General features: G+C 37.4%; 2 protein-coding genes across 18 annotated transcripts in view, besides 1 other annotated feature; one reads left to right on the top strand and one right to left on the bottom strand.

Annotated features, from left to right (window-relative positions):
* Nucleotides 1,628-2,129: an enhancer, noted in NCBI's record as "NANOG hESC enhancer chr6:131893832-131894333 (GRCh37/hg19 assembly coordinates)". NCBI's record gives its function as "activates a minimal SCP1, AML or CMV promoter by ChIP-STARR-seq in primed H9 embryonic stem cells {active_cell/tissue: H9 hESC(primed)}" and the evidence as "EXISTENCE:reporter gene assay evidence [ECO:0000049][PMID:30033119]".
* Nucleotides 2,162-13,265, top strand: ARG1 (arginase 1). Of its 4 annotated transcripts, none has more exons than NM_001244438.2 (8): nucleotides 2,162-2,275; nucleotides 5,599-5,671; nucleotides 8,023-8,221; nucleotides 10,155-10,314; nucleotides 11,557-11,651; nucleotides 11,996-12,100; nucleotides 12,291-12,427; nucleotides 12,678-13,265. In NM_001244438.2, exons 1-8 carry the CDS (start codon nucleotides 2,219-2,221, stop codon nucleotides 12,842-12,844), a joined length of 993 nt encoding a protein of 330 aa, NP_001231367.1. In that variant the 5' UTR covers nucleotides 2,162-2,218; the 3' UTR covers nucleotides 12,845-13,265. The 4 variants fall into 4 exon arrangements, 3 of the variants coding, with proteins under 3 accessions (NP_001231367.1, NP_000036.2, NP_001355949.1); NM_000045.4 differs by having other exon boundaries at nucleotides 8,047-8,221; NR_160934.1 differs by lacking the exon at nucleotides 5,599-5,671 and having other exon boundaries at nucleotides 8,047-8,221.
* The window catches only part of MED23 (mediator complex subunit 23), a 54,348-nt gene continuing 36,541 nt past the window's right edge, over nucleotides 2,902-20,708 (bottom strand). For 7 of the 14 annotated variants that reach the window (NM_001376518.1, NM_001376523.1, NM_001376524.1 and 4 more), the window contains 4 exons: nucleotides 20,249-20,463; nucleotides 19,258-19,378; nucleotides 18,401-18,532; nucleotides 15,691-16,782 (listed from right to left, as the gene is read on the bottom strand). In NM_001376518.1, the coding sequence (NP_001363447.1) occupies nucleotides 16,615-16,782; nucleotides 18,401-18,532; nucleotides 19,258-19,378; nucleotides 20,249-20,463 (636 nt within the window). In that variant the 3' untranslated portion in view covers nucleotides 15,691-16,614. Of the gene's footprint in view, nucleotides 3,232-15,667; nucleotides 16,783-18,400; nucleotides 18,533-19,257; nucleotides 19,379-20,248; nucleotides 20,464-20,708 lie in introns of those variants that run through there. The other 7 variants (NM_001270521.2, NM_015979.4, NM_001376521.1 and 4 more) reach the window with 4 other exon arrangements.

Below are 20,708 nucleotides of genomic sequence, written 5' to 3' on the forward strand. Positions count from 1 at the left end.
AAGGAAAGTGGCAACTATGTAACACAAGAAATTAGTGAGGTATTTGGGAATATTCAGCCTAAACAATAGAAATCCAAGAAAGACATGACAGCCAAGAGATAATGTGCTTTACTTGGATTAAAGGGTGGTGACCAATGGTTCATATGACAGGAAGGCAATCTCAGCTTGGCATACAAAGAACTTTCAGGATGTGAATTTTTCAAAGAAAAAATTCTAGCAATCAAATTTGAAAGTTAGCAAATCTCCATGGATTGATTTATAAATCTAGTAAAAATTCTAGCAAATACTTTTAAGGAATTAGGTTATTCCAACTATAGGAGAATAGAGACCCATAAAAGGTAAATCAATTTTGAAAAAGAAGAGCAAAACAGTTACTCTTGCCTAAACAATGATAAGATGTACCGCAAAACTGTATTGATAAAACCTGATGGATCTGGTGCAGCCATAGGTAAATAAGTCAATGGAACAGAAGAAAGAGTTTAGTGACAGACAGCACTCCAATCAATTGCAAAATGAATGACTATTCAATGGGTGTTGTTGAGGAAACTGATGCATGAATGATAGAGGAAAAACGAGTTGGAAAATTTACATAACATACAAAGATGGATTCAGGAACTAAGTGAGAAAGATAAGCTCTAAGGCAAATGGAAGAAAATGTAAAACTACATACCTACAATTTGATGGGGTGGCAGGAATTTAATAAGACTTCCAAAGCACAAAGCATTCGGGGGAAATTATACAAGTGTCTATTTTAAAATTGAGGATTTTGAGTGATAACATATAAAAAGTTATCAGATTTCTGACAGGTTGGGAAAAGTTATTTGCAATGTCAATGCTATAAGGTTAATATCTAGGCAATATGAGGAATACCACAAGTAAATATTTAGGATATACAAGCAAACCCACAAGAAAAAGGTAGGAAACCTATTTGGAAAACAGTCCTATCAAAATGGACCCATGAGACTTTGGTTTCCTCATTTATCCATTCAATAAATATTTATTGAGTGCCTATTATACACCAACACTCTTCTAGGCCCTGGGGATACAGCAGACAAAATTCTCTGACCTCATGGAATTTAAATTCCAAAATGTTCTTTCCCACCAATAGGAAAAAGAAATTAGTTTCTACTAAGTGAATTTTCCCTTTAAATTACAATTACATAATTTTAAAGTCGGAAGGATCTTTAAGGTGCCTTTATTTTAAATTCATACTTTTGTATGGTGACAAATGGTAGCTCAGGGGCATAGAGGTTGACACCTTCCCAGCATTTAGACTATAAGCTCGACGGTTAAGTGGATTCAGAATGGCAGAGACTAAATCCCGACTTTTCTTCTACAGCCTATGTTGGCAACGGGTCTGAGCTTCAGTTTATTCATCAGTATAATGGCACCAATGATGAGACTTCACATAAAATTGGTATAAATATAAATATGGTATTTTGAAACAGAACTGCATCGGACACATGGTAAAAACTCAATGTTAGCTATTTTTATTTCTATACTTTGATTATGATATGATTCTACAATTATTTTCCTGTACACCATACTTCAAAAATGGTAACCTCTCTGGGTTACCAATCAAGTAACTAATTTTTTAAAGTAATCATCAAAAAAGGAAGTTATATACTCTTTATTATATTATACCCTAAAAGTTTATGAAATGTGTCTCATGGATTAACCATTTACCCTCATGTGTGAAATCTCAACTCAGGATTTTAGGGCTGGAAGGGATGTGACAGACGATCTTGCCAAGCCCGGCCCTTCTTCTACAAGGACGTCTTCAGAGATCTGGAGGAGGAAAGGGCCTTGCCCTGAGTTCGCTGAGCCAGAACAATAGGACTTCTTCTGTAGTTGTGAAACTTGTCAGTTGTTGAAGTCAGGTTAATGTCATCTGGCTGGCTTTTTAAAAGGGTGTGAAGTGAGAACATGAATAATTGTCACTTGATTAGAGACCTAGACTCAGAGTTAGGTTACTCCATGTATGAAGTAACCCCATATAGTTACTTCATACATGGAGTAACCATATAGTTACTCCATGTATGAAAAATTGCAAGACTGTTGACTGTCATTCTTTGGTTTAGTGGGTGGAGCCAGCTGTCCTCATTAGATAAAGGTTGTTTATTCAACCCAAGTATAAATGGAAAAAAAAGATGCGCCCTCTGTCACTGAGGGTTGACTGACTGGAGAGCTCAAGTGCAGCAAAGAGAAGTGTCAGAGCATGAGCGCCAAGTCCAGAACCATAGGGATTATTGGAGCTCCTTTCTCAAAGGGACAGGTAAGGAAAAAAGTCTTTCTTTGAATTCCTGGAATTTAGTTGAAAATTTTGGACTTCAAAATTTGTAAGGTGTTATTGTCTAGTTAGTTCAGTTTTCTGATACAATCTGGCCAGGAAATGCATATTTTAAAGTCCTCTCACCATTTTCCAACATTGTATAATTATAGTCACATATCCACTTACTTTTGTGGCTCGTGATCTCAGCCAAGGCTAAATTCATTTGAACCTACAGAATGTTTTCTCATATTTTTTAGGAGAAAATATTTTTCTTTGAATTGAAATGGACTCTTTCTGCATTGTAGCTACTCATTGAGGTTTAGTTGCTCTTGTTGTTTTTGATGTTACTGTGTGTATGTAGAGGAAGAGAGAATTTTAAGAAATACATTTGTTTAGTTATGTAATTAATGCCTAGAAAAATTTAATAGTTTGGTGGTAACCTTCAGGCTTCTTATAATTTGGATAACCTAAATATTATTGTTTCATGCAACTTTGTGAATAATTCATGTTATGTTAGGGTTTTAATGTTTCTATGAAACTGTTCATTCATGGACTAGGTAGAATCCTTTATGTGCCTCACTTGGAAGGGGAAAAAAAGAACAAAAAAAGAAAGAAAATCCTACTGCGGGTTGGCAACTCTAAAAGGATTTTAATGGATTTATGAAACCCCCAGATTTCCTTACAGCCACGAGCTGTGAATCCACACATGCCAGCAACATTGAATACACTTTTTTTTCTGCCTGGGCACACTTATTCTAGTAAAGAGAGTGTGATGACAGAACACCTTAGACTTCAACACGCATCTGTGCTTAAAGAGGATAAAAAACAAAGAACAAAATCAAACAAGACAATGTATGAGTTGAAACTACTAAGGTTGATTTTCTCCAGGTTTCTCAGGATCTGGGCAGCGTTTTGCTTCCTCTTAATTTGGAACCCTTGCTGTGTACTCTGACTTTTTACTGCAAAACAAATTGAGAGAGGCCAGAGGTTAGAGGCCCAAACTGCATTTGGACTGTCAGTAAATACTACTTTGCTTCCCCTGGAAATCCTCCAAAAGTCTCTCCCAAACACAGGGACATTTTGCTGACACAGAAATGTTCCTTTTAAAATCCACACTGTTCTCACCCACTCTTGAACAGGTTATAATAAATATATAATTTAAAAACCTCACAAAAGGGAAGCAAGTGTCCTCCTTCTACCACCCTCCTCCCATTAAAACATGGTCATGAGAATGGAGTTCATTGTCTCATGATTGTAAGGACTAAGAGAGAGAGATTTTTTACACTAAGTCATAGAGTAGAGAGGATAAAATGGCCAACATATAAGTATTTGTCCTCACCTAAAGGAGGTACAAGTTTGACAAATAAGCAAAAGGAAAGGATTAGAGGGCAGATGACTAAAATGTTGAGTCTGAGAAAGGGCTTCATCCCTGTCTCACCTCCTTGAAAGGCTTGCAAGGCAGCGAACAAACAATAAGGTAGGTATTATTTTTACCTTACAGTTGGGTTAAAAAAAAGCCCAGAGAGGTTTGGTAATGTGCTCAACGTCACACAGCCTTGACTGCATAATTCCAGACAAGATAATCTGATTCCAATGCCTATGCCCTTGATTTGCACTGATGTCTCTTCAGACTATTCAACTCCAAAGGCGACCTTATACTTGTGGCCATTTAGGGATTGGGCCCAGCTTAGAAAGTCGGTGGAGCTGACAAAGCAATTTCCAAAGTGGGCAGATAGAGCAAGCAAGAGGAAAGCCCAATCATGAGAAGCCATTTGAATAAAACAAATAAAAAAGAATTCTAGAAAATTTAATGGCTGTGTTATAGCAAATATAGTGTCAACTAAGGGGTCTATGAGCTTTGTTCTAAAATATGAAAGGGAGAAGGGTAAAAAAGCCAAGGAGTTTTATCAAACTGAGTATTGAGTATCTACTATATGTCAGCTCTACACTACAAAATATAGTGCCCCACATGTAAAGCAAGCTGGACTGAAATCTAACAATGAGGAAAAGACAAAAACAGACACAAAACTAAAGGCAAAACATGAACCAAGCAGCACCCTATTGGGGTTGAAAGAAGGAGAAATCATGTTTACTTGATTGGGGAGAGGCAGGTGTGTCAAGCAAAAAGGGAGTAAAGAAGCAAAATGTGTCAGGCAGAGGATAGGGCGGGTCCCTTGCTGCCAGGGACAGGAATTTAACATCAAGGATTTGCCTGGCACCCAGGGCAAGTCTTCTGTTCCTTTGAATGGGGAAAAAATACTTGCTTACTTTGATGCCACAGCCCCAATCCTAAAGATAGACACACGTGTCTTTTAACACATTGTCTCATCTGACAACATGTAATAATCTTCTGCATCTAAAAGCTCTGTTGGAAATTAAAATCAGAAAGATACAGAAAGGAACTGTGCCTTTAGACCTCTAATTGTTCAGGGGACTGAGGAAGACTTGCCCCTTGGAGGAAGAGTGTTAGTTTCCCTAATGTCAAAACGGCAAGGGTAGAACTTCCCATCATACTGTTAAGCAGGCCAAAACTTGAAATTACTGGGTTGGTCTTTGTTTGTAGTTTTCAGCTCCCAGATGATGACTTTTTCTGTTGCCTGCTTTCTCCCCAAGAGCTCTAGCTTACTTATGTGAGTACATGCACGTAGGTCTCTTTCATGTCACACTCTTTCGATGCTTTTGCCCAATCGTTCCCTTGGTTTGCAGAGTTTCTCCATCACTCTGTCTTGTTTTCCTAACTACCTACTCATGTCGCAAGACTCAGCTTAAACAGCATTTATTTCTTGCAGCCTTTACTGACACACCCTGTCCCCAACAGTGTTAAGGGCATCCTGTTTTTGTTACTAGGACATTTTATATCATCACTGAAGCAGCTATGTATTGAAACTGGAGTTAAATGCCCATATCTCCTATCAGCTTATGAGGGACTCAAAGTCAAAAGCCTTTTCATTATTGGATCTCATCTACCAGACTGCTTTTGCACAAACTACTTGTTCACTGTGTTGATAACATGGTTTGACGGGAAGAGGGGATGTAGGTTTTGGAATCCAAAGACCTGAATATGAACATAGGCTCTGCCACTTATTAGCTGTGTGCCAGTCTGAAAACCATATAACCTTTGTGATTCTAGTTCTTTCTATTTGGCATAAAAGTCATTCAGTCTACCTTGCTGTGAAGATTAAAAGAGATGATGTAAATTCCTGGCTCTGTAGGAGCTCAAAAAATGATAGTTACAGTTCAACTGATTAAATAATGAAAAGGGTTCCTGCTGTGAGCATCTGATGGTCATGATAATGTCTGAAGTACTTTATTTTTTAATTGTTCAGCCACGAGGAGGGGTGGAAGAAGGCCCTACAGTATTGAGAAAGGCTGGTCTGCTTGAGAAACTTAAAGAACAAGGTAATTTTTAAGTTGAAAAATGATCAGCCTGATTTCCTCCCCACTCTGAAGGAAAGAGCAGGCCCCTGTGAACCTGGAGTGTGTCTGGAATATTTACATCAGAATTGCGGTACTGGTTACAACCCGAGAAACACATCCTACAAAAGCAGCAGGGCATGGGGAGAATGCTCAGGAAACATTGCTGGATGTACATCCTCACTCAGATATTTTGTCTTTCCAGCCAAACTACAGTATAAGATAAATTGTGTGTGCAAGAACGGGGGTTGGGGTGGATGGTAGGGGAGCCGGGGGAACAGCAAATGGAAGGCAAGGTGCAGCAGGAAGTATGCTACTAGCAAGAGGACCCCTATTTGTGAAATAAAATAAAATAAAACAGTAATAATGATAATAACAACAGCGCCTAGTGTGGGCGCAGTGTGTATATATACATACATATACATAAGCATGCAAATGCAAATTTACGTATATTTTTAAAGTATGGGCTCAATTTTCTGTTACCTTTACATATAAGATTCTGATAAAGTGTTGGTCAGGATGTGGAGAAACTGGAACCCTCATATATTTCTGATGGGAATGCAAATGATACAGCCACTTTGAAAGTAGGTGGGCAGTTTCTCAGGTAAACATATATTTACATTTTGACCCAGCAGTTCTACTCCTGGGTGCAGAGAAGTACAACTACAAACATTCAAGTACAAGTCTTTGTGTGGATATGTTTTCATTTCTCTTGGGTAAGAGATTTGTGCTTGAATGTTTGGGGGCAGCCATATTTATAATAACCAAAAAATGGAAACAGCAAAATGCCCATCAACTGGTAGATGGTTAAACAAAAAGTGTCACATCCATGCAACGAGATAGTATTCAACAATAAAAAGGAATGGACTGGTCGGGCACGGTGGCTGAGGCCTGTAATCCTATCACTTTGGGAAGCCAAGGTGGGTGGACTGTCTGAGCTCAGGAGTTCAAGACCAGCCTGGGCAACACAGTGAAACCCCTTCTCTAGTAAAAATACAAAAAAAAATAGCTGGGCGTGGTGGCATGAGCCTGTAGTCCCAGCTACTTGGGAGGCTGAGGCAGGAGAATGGCTTGAACCCGGAGGCAGAGGTTGCAGTGAGCTGAGATTGCGCCACTGCACCCCAACCTGGGCGACAGAGCGAGACTCCATCTCCAAAAAAAAAAAAAAAAGAAAAAGGAATGGACCGCAAACACAGGCAAAAACATGGTAGATCTCAAAAGCAGCATGATAAGACAAGAAAGACTACATGTATGATTCCACTGATACGACATTCTGGAAAGACAAAAGCATAGCAAAAGAAAGCAGATCAGCAGTTCCTGGGGTTGGGGGCAAGAATTACCTCTAAAGGGGCAGGATGGAATTTTTCAAACTCATTGACCCGCACAGTTAAAATTAGTGAGTTTTAGTGAACAAGAATTACACTTCGTAAATCTTTAAAAAAAAAAAAAAAAGACAAATACAGACACCCAGTAGAGAACAGAATGCTTGGGTAATGGACTTGTCCCTTAACTGACAAGCATAATTTGGTCACGTGTTGTATCAGGTGAAATTTCTTGGAGGCGTTACTAAATCAGATTCACACAGACATGTAACAAATACCATATTTAATGGCCAATTAGTTCAGAACACCGAACTGAATCACAGTTTTACATGACACTCTCTACTTTTCAAGCCTAATTCAAGGCCTTTTAGGGAGCACACCCAGTCCTTAGGAATTTGGGGTTACCTGCAATTTTTCCTTACTAAAAAGAATAACTAAAAAGCTTTATTTCCGAAGCTTCCAAAGTGTTAGGCTCAGTGCTAAGTACATATTCACATATTCTTATTTATTTATGATAATACCACTATGAGGCAGGTTCAATGGATACTTTGTGTGTCTGTGTGTGTGTGTATCTCCAGATGAAAATACACCAGTGCTTTCTAAATTTTCTGAGAATACATATATATACCGATATATATGTATTTAATTATTATCAAAATGAAGCATGCTTACTATAGAAAGGTAAAAAGCACATAAGCAGAGAGAGACAGAGAGACAGAGACAGAGACAGTGGCATTCCCTATTAAGCCCAAACCAGAAGATTATCACTGTTACATTTTGGTGTCTAGTTTAACTGGATGGATTCAAGAAGTGTTCACTGAGAGCCCAGTATACAGCCGCACCAGTGTGTGATACTGGTAACATGACGTCAAGCAAAAGCAGACATGGGTCTACCTTCCCAAGATTTACAGACCTTTCAGGTTTTTCCTTTGCTTATACTTGTGAATATATGCCTATTTTATACAATTGAGATCATCCTACACAGACTGATTTATAATCTACTTTTTAATTTAGTAACTCAAAACTTTTTAATTTTAGAGTGTGATGTGAAGGATTATGGGGACCTGCCCTTTGCTGACATCCCTAATGACAGTCCCTTTCAAATTGTGAAGAATCCAAGGTCTGTGGGAAAAGCAAGCGAGCAGCTGGCTGGCAAGGTGGCAGAAGTCAAGAAGAACGGAAGAATCAGCCTGGTGCTGGGCGGAGACCACAGGTCTTGTTGAATAACTGTGTCTATGGGAATCTGGCACAAAGGAAGTAACCAAGGCCATAAGAAGAGAGAAAATTTAGAAATATAGACAGAAAAGCATTGACCTATATTTTATATCAAATTTTCTGCCTTTAAAAAAATTTTATAGGTTACTTTTATTATAGAAACAGACTTCGCTCAATTTGAAGTCTTACAATATCTGTATTTTGACCTAGTACAGCAGAAAATGTATGAAATATGAATGGATTTCATCTAAATATTCATCACAAGCTTACATTTCTAAATAAGTATGTGAGGCAATTCATAGCTTATTTGTTCTTAATTGCCGATAATATATACAACTCATATAGGTCAACAATTTCAAAGCATGTGTTTTTCATTATAAAAGTAATGATCATAACATTTTTGAAAGCATCAGACACACACACACAAGAAAAAAAATGTGGTAATTGTACTTCTCTAGCAACCATTTCAACCAGAATTGAAAATCTGGCACATTTCTTTCATGGCATCTTTTTTTTCCTTGTACATGATGACTTTGTTTAACGTGTGTGTGTGTGTGTATGTGTGTGTGTGAGAGAGAGAGAGAGAGAGACAGATGTCTATGTTGTGTTCTCACTCTACAGTGCAAATTTCCTTGTTGCTTCATGGGATGTGCATAAGCATCATAAGCATCAGTTTTTTAATTGCTGCATGATTTTTCATCAAGGGGTTACATCGCTATATACGTACATATTGCGGCATATTCAGGTTGCATTATAATTTTCACCATTACAAATAATGTGGCAAAGACCATTTTTGTGCATGAGCCTCTTTAAATATTTACTCCCAAGGCCTAGGATAATTTTACCAGAAAGGCCTGATTAGATCTAAAAGTAGAAACACTTCTATGGCTCTTGAGCAGTCAATGACTTCAGGTCTCCTTGGCTTCCTCTTCTAAAGCCAAACTGTCACCAAGGCCTCTGTATCAAAACTGCAATTGGGAAACTGAGGCTCGCTTTCTTTGTTAAGTGGAAATTTTAGGAATGGCACATGGCAAAAGACAAGAAACCTAAAGGGAAAACAAACGTCCACTGAATAATCCATACCTGAACGTTAAGGCATTATTGCTTCCACTTCGAGAATCTAAAAGCTCATGATTCTCTGAATGATACTTAAACATTCACAAATGGGAGAATACAGGCATTGTATAGTACTAGCTTGGTGCAAAAGTAATTGCAGTTTTTAAATGGCAAAACCGCAATACTTTTGCACCAACCTAATAAATCCTAACTTTTAACTTCTGTGCAAGATATCATTTATGTCTTCCATTCCAGCAAAATGTCTGGAGCTTGAAGTATTTGGGATGAACTTTGTTCCTGGTTGAGTGGGTAACTAGATGCATTGAATAGAATGAGTGAACACACGCCATACGCTGGCTGAAGAACTTGAGTAAGAACATGTAAGAACTTCTGAGTGATGCTCTCAAATTATAAAAGCTGGATTTTAAGAAAAATTGAAAGACTTTGTCATAATTCACTTGAGAGAATTAAGTATTTACCAAGAGAGATGAGTGTACAGAAAATGATCCAAATTTAACTCTGAGAATTGAACAGTGTCTCATGCTAAGGAATTTCTTGTGTGGCTAGTATTTTTATACTCATTTATTTTTTTGGCTACGCTCTAATCGTGGTTTTCTTACAAGGTGGATTTTGGGAAAAAAAATCACAGTTTTTTTAGTAATGCAATCGATGTAAATATAACTAGTTAGTGAGCATTAAGTGTAAGTTATGCTTTCTCTATTGTTTTAACTAATTGGCATCTCCAATTCAGAACCTATCAGAAATATCAGACACTGTGACTCAAAGGAAAACCAAGTGGGAGCATTGAGTGAATAATATGATGTATGTAGTGACACTGCAAACCTGATGTTCACACAAAATTTTTTCCCCAAAAGTTTGGCAATTGGAAGCATCTCTGGCCATGCCAGGGTCCACCCTGATCTTGGAGTCATCTGGGTGGATGCTCACACTGATATCAACACTCCACTGACAACCACAAGTGGAAACTTGCATGGACAACCTGTATCTTTCCTCCTGAAGGAACTAAAAGGAAAGGTAAAAGACTGGTTGGTACTCTAGTGCAATAGAATACTTTTTAGTAGACATTCAGGAGGTGGAAGGGAAATGAGAAACTCCATGTTATCTTATTCTTGGTGTAATCTCAAATCATTTTCTCTGCAGCCAATAAGCAAAGGGTTGGTTGATAAAAGGCAGTGAGGCTCTCTATCTCTGCCTTGCAAACTGACTTAATATATATTTTCTCTGCTAATTCTTAAACTATCCTTTTAGTAGGTGGGGCAGAGAGTAATCATTTATAAACAGGTCAGTGGAGGTTCAGAGGTTAACCAACTTGCCCAAGATATATGCCAAGCCTATAGTGAAGCAAGGGCTAGCACCAGGTCTCCTCATTCCTTCCTCTTTCCACTACATGCCACACAGTTCTGCATTCTTACTGAGTAGTCCTTCTATATCATAGAGGCTTTTCAAAAAAGAAATTTTAAAATTTCAGATATAATGGTTTATGAACTAATGTATTTACTGGGAGAAGCACCTATCTAAATCATAAGAGAAAGAACTATCTCCCTGCTCCCTAGAAACTCCTTTTCTAAAAGATGGAAAATAAAATGGCAGATTAAGATTTAATATTACAGCTTATAACTTTGTTGATATGCCATAGTTTGTTGATATGCCATAGTATATCAATAAAAAGTTTTTATTGATACAATTATAATATTTGGTCCTTATGATGATACAAGAGGTTAAAACCTCCTTATGTTAAATGCTCAGAAATAATGTCTTTTGAACTAATGACCAAGGGATGGGTTTATAAACTTGCAAAGTATCTGCCTAGTACATGGGAAAAACTAAACGTCCTGGAGGACAAAGCAGATATCATCATATTATCACATTAAGAATAACCAAAGGACAGGCCACAAATTTCCCTCAGCTGCTCTAGGCCATCCTCTGGATTAAGGACTTACTGAGAAAGGGAAGTAAAGAAGGAAGCTACCAAAGTAATGGGAGCACAATCGTTTCTTTATAGAGGAGCCCTGGGAAAGAAGGGCCCAGCAGGACTGGGGCACAAAGTAGGTAAATGCCAACTGGTTCAAGGCAAAGTCAAAGCAATCAAGGGGAGGCACACATCCTCTTCTTAATTGTGTATTATTTTTACATGATTTCTTCTGTATTTATATTCTAAATATAAGATATACGCAATCCAATATGTGTCTTTACCTTTGAATGTAGGATTTGTTCAAGAGAATCATACATAACCAAGTGAAAACATTGTAATTTTAGATTCCCGATGTGCCAGGATTCTCCTGGGTGACTCCCTGTATATCTGCCAAGGATATTGTGTATATTGGCTTGAGAGACGTGGACCCTGGGGAACAGTAAGCTTATTCCTTGATGTGATTTGCCTCCATTTTTGTCCCTTTGTGTGCTAGATATGCTTTACTGACCAACTCTATGAGAGAAAATTAAACATCAAGACACACACACACACACATGCCCACACACATATATTTATATACATGTACATACATATGTATGTATCCAGGCAATTAAATCTCAATTGACTTGCTGTTAAAAATAAATACAAATAAAACTATATTGAGTTAGGTTCATAGAACCTAAATGTTTTATATATTTTACTATATTTATATTTCCCTTAAAAGGAGACAGGCGGGCACAGTCAGCCTTATTAATTATAATTATCTTAATTTCTCTTTTATAGCTACATTTTGAAAACTCTAGGCATTAAATACTTTTCAATGACTGAAGTGGACAGACTAGGAATTGGCAAGGTGATGGAAGAAACACTCAGCTATCTACTAGGAAGGTAGGATTCTTTTGTGTGTGCACACATGTGTGTGCAACAGAAAAGGTTGCTACTGACAACCAAAGTTATTAATAAAGTCTTTACATGAAATAATGGGTTGCTACTTTTTATAAAACAAGTTAACAGATTATTATCTATGAAATGTGAAGCCATCAACCTTAAACTGAAATCCTTTCCCACTTCTTAAAAGAAAGAAAAGGCCAATTCATCTAAGTTTTGATGTTGACGGACTGGACCCATCTTTCACACCAGCTACTGGCACACCAGTCGTGGGAGGTCTGACATACAGAGAAGGTCTCTACATCACAGAAGAAATCTACAAAACAGGTAGTTAACAATCTGAGGTAATAGAGAAGCAAGTGTACACTTGACTAATATATATTTATACCTCCTTGACCTGAAACCAAGTCCCAGCTGACACTTTCAGAATGTCCATCAGTCACATGATGCAATAACTAAAGTGTTTTCCATCGGTTACTACCTTTTTCTGTTAGTGGATAATCTTTCAAGTCTGTCTGTACTACTTTCAAAATGTCAACTATTTTATAAATTACATTATTACAATTTGTTGTTGTAGGGCTACTCTCAGGATTAGATATAATGGAAGTGAACCCATCCCTGGGGAAGACACCAGAAGAAGTAACTCGAACAGTGAACACAGCAGTTGCAATAACCTTGGCTTGTTTCGGACTTGCTCGGGAGGGTAATCACAAGCCTATTGACTACCTTAACCCACCTAAGTAAATGTGGAAACATCCGATATAAATCTCATAGTTAATGGCATAATTAGAAAGCTAATCATTTTCTTAAGCATAGAGTTATCCTTCTAAAGACTTGTTCTTTCAGAAAAATGTTTTTCCAATTAGTATAAACTCTACAAATTCCCTCTTGGTGTAAAATTCAAGATGTGGAAATTCTAACTTTTTTGAAATTTAAAAGCTTATATTTTCTAACTTGGCAAAAGACTTATCCTTAGAAAGAGAAGTGTACATTGATTTCCAATTAAAAATTTGCTGGCATTAAAAATAAGCACACTTACATAAGCCCCCATACATAGAGTGGGACTCTTGGAATCAGGAGACAAAGCTACCACATGTGGAAAGGTACTATGTGTCCATGTCATTCAAAAAATGTGATTTTTTATAATAAACTCTTTATAACAAGATTATATTGTGTCTACATATTTCTAAATACATGCAACACACACACACACACACACACACACACACACACCCCACATTCATAAAAACGTCCTGCTTAAAACTACTAAGTTTTTAATGTTAAAATACAAAACATTTGAAAAGTCACAGTGAAATCAATCATCCCCAAAACACTGTGAGGCCTTGAAACTATTTAAACTCCCTGGCTCTGGTTTCTTCAACTGTAAAATGGGTAATAATAGGTTTGGGCAATCTACAAGTTCATTGGGCTAGATGTCCATGTTTTACTTTTTCTAAACCTCAAACATGATTTTGGTTAATACTTTAAAAGCATGGTTGCTATTCAAGTAGCTTTTGGGAGGTGGAAGATATTCCTGGCTGGATGTGGTGGCTCACACCTGTAATCCCAGCACTTTGGGAGGACAAAGAGCTTGAGTCCAGGAGTTTGTGACCAGCCTGGCAACATGGTGAAACCCCATCACTACAAAAAATACACACACACACACACACACACACACACACACACTAGCTGGGCATGGTGGTGAACATCTGTAGTCCCAGCTACTCAGAAGGCTAAGGCGGGAGGACTGCTTGAGCCCAGGAGACGGAAGTTGCAGTGAGCTTAGATCACGCCACTGCACTCCAGCCTGGGCAACAGAATGAGACCCTGAAAAAAAAAAAAAAAAACCAACCATATTCCCCAAAATCTATTCAGGAGCCACATAAATCAAATTGCTAGTTTGTTTTTAATAATAATTACTAATTCAGCTGAGGATGTCATCTAAAATTACCTATGGCTTCCAACGTTTCACCCTTCACTTACTGCAATTACAGTATATCTCATTAGCTATATCCTAAAAACTCATCTTGGCTCTGGAGTGTAGTAAGGAAAATGGAAAAAACAAACCAGAGTAAACGGTAATCAAAACAAGGGAAGCAAAGTTTTTCTCCTCCCAGTAATTTATGTGAAAACCCCAGGGGGTCCTGTAAAAAAGGTAGGCTCCATGAATGGATTTCTCCTGTGTTTTTGTTTTAACAGCTATATGATAGTCCCTACAATCTGATTTTTCAAATGTAACACAGAATTTAAAAACTGTTTCCTCTAATAACTCCTAGGCCTTTGAAAGATAAACATTTTATTGAATTACTTTTAGATGGGAGCAATTATAATGGATCTCACTCTAAGATATATTCTCTAATACAGTAGCCACATGTGGTCATTTAAATTAAAGCTTAATAAAATTAAAAAATTCAGTTCCACATTTCAAATGCTTCCTAGATAAATGTAGCTGCTAACTAGTGTATTGAATAGCACAGGTAAAGAACATTTCCATCATTGCAGAAAGTCATACTGGACAGAGCCACTCTAAACTTACTATTAATTTTCAAAAAGAAAAACTTTTAGGATGTGATAAACATAAAGGCATTTTTTTCCCCTCTGCTGTATTCTAAACCCAAATAAAGTTTTTGTCTTCTATTAGTCTCTGATTAAAAACATATTTAAAAGCCTATCCAGGGAAATTATATTCCCATGTTTTTAAGCTAGAGAGGGAAAACTGAATTTGTAATAAATTAATTAGAATGTTTATGTCCTTGAGAAAGTGATTATATTGATTTTCATTTCCTCTATTGTTTGTATAATACTAGTGTCACAATTTTATCCTCATTCTAGGATCAAAAAGCAATAAATTCCTCAAGGCAGCAAGAATACATTGACGCTATGCTAAGATTAACACTTGAAATAATCTCTAGCATGTTTTCTGGGTAATTTTAAGAATGAGTCTGCAGGGGCCGGGCACAGTGGCTCACGCCTGTAATCCCAGCACTTTGGGAGGCTGAGGCGGGGGATCACGAGGTCAGGAGATTGAGACCATCCTGGCTAACACAGTGAAACCCCGTCTCTACTAATACTAAAAATACAAAAAATTAGCCAGGCGTGGTGGCAGGCGCCTGTAGTCCCAGCTACAAGGGAGGCTGAGGCAGGAGAATGGCGTGAACCCGGGAGGTGGAGCTTGTAGTGAGCCCAGAGTATGCCACTGCACTCCAGCCTGGGTGACAGTACGAGACTCCGTCTCAAAAAAAAAAAAAAAGAAAAGAGTAAGTCTGCAAAAATTACTTTTACCATTATATAAATTTTTAGCTGGACTTGCATGGCCAGTAATGATTTAGTGATGGCAATTACATGAGCTACAAAGAAAATAAAGTTCTAGGAGGAATGTATTTAGAAATATGAATTTGAAATACAGTTGGTTAAATTCACTAGTTCTTTTTAAAAGAATCTGTAACTCTTAATTCCTAGGCCAATGTCAGTCACCAACTGTAGTGTAGGAACCACAGAGTACCCCATTTCCAACTGACCCCAGCCAGCACACCACCTGGCACACAGCCGACACTCATTCCAATGGAGTCGGGAAACAATCACACGGTTTATTCATTCAGCAGACTTTACTCATTAGTTTTCAAGTCTTTCGCAATGCCAATTCCCCCAAAATTAACAATGTCTCTCAAAATCCAAGAAATAAAATGTGTACTGTATTTACAAATATAAAATTTAAAAATTTTAAGATTATAAAAATTGAAGAATTACATCATCTGTCAGGTGAGAGTGTCAACCTGCAAAAGCAATTAACTTATTTTTAAAAAAAGAAATTGGAGAATCAACCATTTAAGCATGATTTTAAGTTCAAGAATTTTCAGATGTTATTTTCTTACATGGCTTCCAACTAATTTTATACAGTAAGTTCAAGTCCATAGCAAAGGTAATAAAACTGCCAGTTGACCTTGATAGAAACTATGGAAATTTATAATAAAATTTCAAGTCATTTTAAAAAGAATATGAAGCCTTGTTTGCTCCTACAATGCAACAAAATCTAGATTCCTTTTCTTGATATAAATCTCTATTATTCTGAAAATCTACCAAGAGATTTATGTATAAAATATTTGTAATAACTGTTTTACATGTGTGGTGCCTTTAAAATAATATATCTGAAGACTAAATATGTCATTAATAATAAAAAATACAAACAAAAACAACGGCTAGAATAGGAAAGACTGAAAGTGCCAATGACAAGTCATTTGATCACAGATACCTCTATGTTCCTACATAGCTCTAATAAGTTGTTATGAATATGAACAACATGTATCTTACTTGATCTCTTAGAGACAAAAATATAGATAGGGAGATGGGAGTTATAAGGTGTCAACAGATTCATCATTTGAATCAAAATAAAACAATCTGAATATCATCACTGCTTCTACTATATCACTACAGTGTGATCGCATTCAGATTTAAAAGGTTTGAGTCCACTCTCAAAGACGGATATATTTCTACTTTCTCCACAGTACAGTCTGGCTTCACTGAGTTACTGGTAAAGACACGGGCACCTGATTAGACTGAGGTGCTGGAGACCCACTGTTCATGGCTTGTGGAGGCACTGCAGCTGGCTCCATCTTGCTAATGTGTGTGATGAATCGAAGACGAAGTTTTAAAGCTGGTTTTAAGTTACAGATAATCTTCTCTACCTAAGAAATAAAAACACATTAAAACGTACTTTAATCAGAGAATTTCAACTTCTCACATTTAAAGCAGGATTTACACATATCCGGAGACAATAAACTAAGGAGTGTCGTGGGGTAGATGAGAAGTTTCTTAACATGTTCTGTGTTTTAAGAAAAGCAGATACAATGATTTCTTTCTTGCATGAGAAACAATACGTTCTCCCTCACACACACCCCTTATATATTATATGTGCATGTCTGTACATGTACCATATGTATATTCATATATATGCATATACTTACAAAGGCGTATCCACTCATCTAGCTAGCCAGTCATCCCACTACCAAAAGCTAGCAGAGTTTACACTGGAAATTTTATACATCCAACAAGTTGATCATTCTTTTAAAATGCCATCTTTACAGAAGCATGAAGCATAATTATAAAGTTCTTTGAATAACTCATGTTTGCAACATTTATCTATAAAACTATTTTGGTTTTGATTTACACTTGGAATTAACTAAATAATATTAGATCTACTCTTTTGAAAAACACTAAGGAGACAAACACATCAAGTCGTTTCACAGCTTTCTTAGCTTTACTCAAATGCTCTTTGACCTTTTCCTTTCTGTACTCCCTTGTGTTAAAGTTTCTTAGGCCTAAATGTAAAGAATACTTTTTTTAAAAAAACAAACAAATAAACAATTTCTTTTACAGTTTCTCTGCATGTTCTGTGTTGTAACAAAAGCAGATACAATTTCTCTCTTTCTTACATGAGAGAGAACAGGTCAACTCTCTTTGACACTGCTGCTGAGACATAAAGGAGTCAACCTCCTTGGCATCTCAACCTAAAGTACTGGGAGGGGTAGGAGGATGGACTTAACTTTCCCTATCTGTCCTACCTCCACTCCTTTAAAATGGCCCAGATTCTGTTTCCTACACGTAGGAAACTCAGTTATGATTCAAGGTCTTTTTCTACTTTCAGACATCCCCATTAGGAAGTTCCTCTTCATATGCTAAGTCAGGGTGGCCTCCCTTTAACTTTACCAGAATTCATACACCCTCTAAAGTGACACAGAACGAATCTAATACCTATTCCAAATGAAAACCCTCCAAAATGCTGAGGTCATAAATAATTCCCTAGGACTTTTTTCTTCAGGATAAGCATTCCCATATTCTCTAAATGCTTTTCATGAGTTAGTCTCTAGTCAGGATTAGTCTAGAATCCTGACTTTAGTCTTCTAGTTATGCCGCGGTTTGTCTACTGTCACCATGAGTGTCAGGAGAAGCAGGACCTCCTTTACTCATAACACAACAACCTCTCTGCTCATATTTCAGCAGCCATATCCCACTGTTTCTCCCTAATGAGATTACTATTAATTAACCCTCTAGGTCTTTTTCAGATTTTCTGTTGCAAATATCAAGGGGGAAAAGTACAAGAAATTATAACATGTATTTCCTTTAATACTACATCTAGAATAATATGCCTCTGATGCCTAAAAAGGTCTCATACCCACCCTTTTTCCTTAAAAGAAAAAATTAGACAAAATAAAAATAATCACCCAAACCAAAAAAGTCTATTACTATATGTTCAAGTTTTCTAAATTAAACATCATTAAAAATAATTAAACAAATTCAACTTACTTGCTCTTTCACGCTGTCACCAGTAAACATATACTTCATGTGATAGAGGAAGTCACAGATGGGATCCATGTAATTTAAATGGGTGCTACACTGGTCAACATTCAGCAGCATGTCATAAAACGCCACACCAATCTATTTAACAAATAATGTAAAATTATTTAAGTGATCAAGTGATTCAGTAATTCAGCATGATGCAGCTGGGCTCCATTACAACACTAGCACCGGGGGATACTGTCTTTGCTGTAGAACTGTCATATACCATATACACCTCTATGCACATGAGATATGATATGGCTTGCATTTATAAAAGAATCTATAGTGCTACAAAATGCCCCTGACAAGGCTTAAATAAAATTTCTCTTCATAGTTAAGTAATTTCTCTTAAAATCAAGAGATAAACAATCCCCTTTCTAGACACCATCTCTCGATGTCTGGGATAACTCCACTCCTAGGGATCCTTTGGATTATACTTTCTTAGTTCCATTTGGTAGCTCTTGCTTTAAGGTTCTACTCCTGGGTCCTTTCCTTGTTTGCGACATTTTGTTAGAAGTGACTGACTTCATCCATTCTCATGATTTTAATTAGCTCCTCTGCACTGTAAGATCTCAAATGTACTTCTCCATCCTTAACCTCTTCTCAACCTTCATGATGGGCGTTTCCTCTGCATCTCCAATTCAATACATCCCACCCTAAATTCATTACTGGCAAACTAAGTCCTCTAAAATTGCTCTTGGATCCTGTTAAACTAGTTTCACTACTAATGGTTGTGACCTGCAGTTTCAATAACACTGGTAAAGAAACTTAAATAGATACTTCAGAATTTAATCATGTCACAGGAAACCCAGATTATATTTTACCTCTATCATACAACGAGTTCTCTCTTGCTGAAATCTTTGTAAAAATGGTCCAACAAGATGGTATACATAAAGCAACTGGAATTCGGTCTTCACTATAGGAAGAAGTACTTCAGTAAGAAACCTAAAATTTGAAGATAAAAATCTCCTGTGACTTGAAATTATTTAAATTGTTTGAATTTTGTTCATACAGTATATACAAAGTATTACAATAAAATATAATTTTTTAAAGTTCCTTTTAATTTGGTAACAATAATATTTCTAATTAATCTCACATCTCTCACTGGCTATTACTTTCACTTGATTATTTTTATTTATTTATTTTTTTGAGACGGAGTCTCACACTGTTGCCTGGGCTGGAGTGCAGTGGCGTGATCTTGGCTCACTGCAACCTCCGCCTCCTGGGTTCAAGTGATTCTCCTGCTGACTAGCTGGGATTACAGGTGCACACCACCACGCCTGGCTAATTCTTTTATTTTTAGTAGAGACGGGGTTTCACCATGTTGGCCAGGATGGTCTCAATCTCCTGACCTTGTGATCCACCCATCTCGGCCTCCCAAATTGCTGGGATTACAGGCATGAGTCACCGCGCCCAGCCGCAAGTTGTTCTAATGAATGAAGTATATACCTCATCTGTTAATGAGATTAGAACAAAATGAAATACAATTTTTTTTTTTTTTTCAGATGGAGTCTCACTCTGTCACCAGGCTGGAGTGCAGTGGCGCGATCTTGGTTCACTGCAATTTCCAGCTCCCTGGTTCAAGTGATTCTCCTGCCTTAGCCTCCCGAGTAGCTGGGGTTACAGGCACACACCACATGCCCAGCTAATTTTTGTATTTTTAGTAGAGATGGGGTTTCACAATGTTGGCCAGGATGGTCTCAATCGCCTGACCTTGTGATCTGCCCACCTCGGCCTCCCAAAGTGCTGGGATTACAGGCATGAACCACCGCACCCAGCCTACGTCAAATTTCTTTAAGAAATTATTATACTTACTTTGGAATGAGAGAAAGTTGTCCGATGCTAGAATGGTGCCACACAGCATGTGCAAGAGCTAACGTATAGCTACAACTCATCTCAGAGTAGGACTGATGACAGGCAGTGAAATCAAAGAGGCGGAATGGATAGCCAACCCACTCTGTTTCAGACGTCAAGCTGGGGCTGCTGATGACACTCACAATTCGATCATGAAGAACAATCCAATATGGCTCCTTTAAAATCGGAGGAAAGCTAGTGAAAAATATCACTTATCCAGCATTCCACCCCAAAGTCTAAAGTAATAGTGTTTTCTCATTCTTTAAAGTTTTCTATTTTTCCAGCTTCTGCACAATACAGCTGGGTGGCTTTGTAACTGGTCAAATTAAGTCAGTAACAACCTGGGAGAAGTAACTGTGAGTTAAGGGGCTCCATACATGTATCTGTCCAGCTCATTTAGGTACCTGATATACACTATGCA

The sequence above is a fragment of the Homo sapiens genome, chromosome 6 (assembly GCF_000001405.40).
Source record: "Homo sapiens chromosome 6, GRCh38.p14 Primary Assembly".
Taxonomy (NCBI): domain Eukaryota; kingdom Metazoa; phylum Chordata; class Mammalia; order Primates; family Hominidae; genus Homo; species Homo sapiens.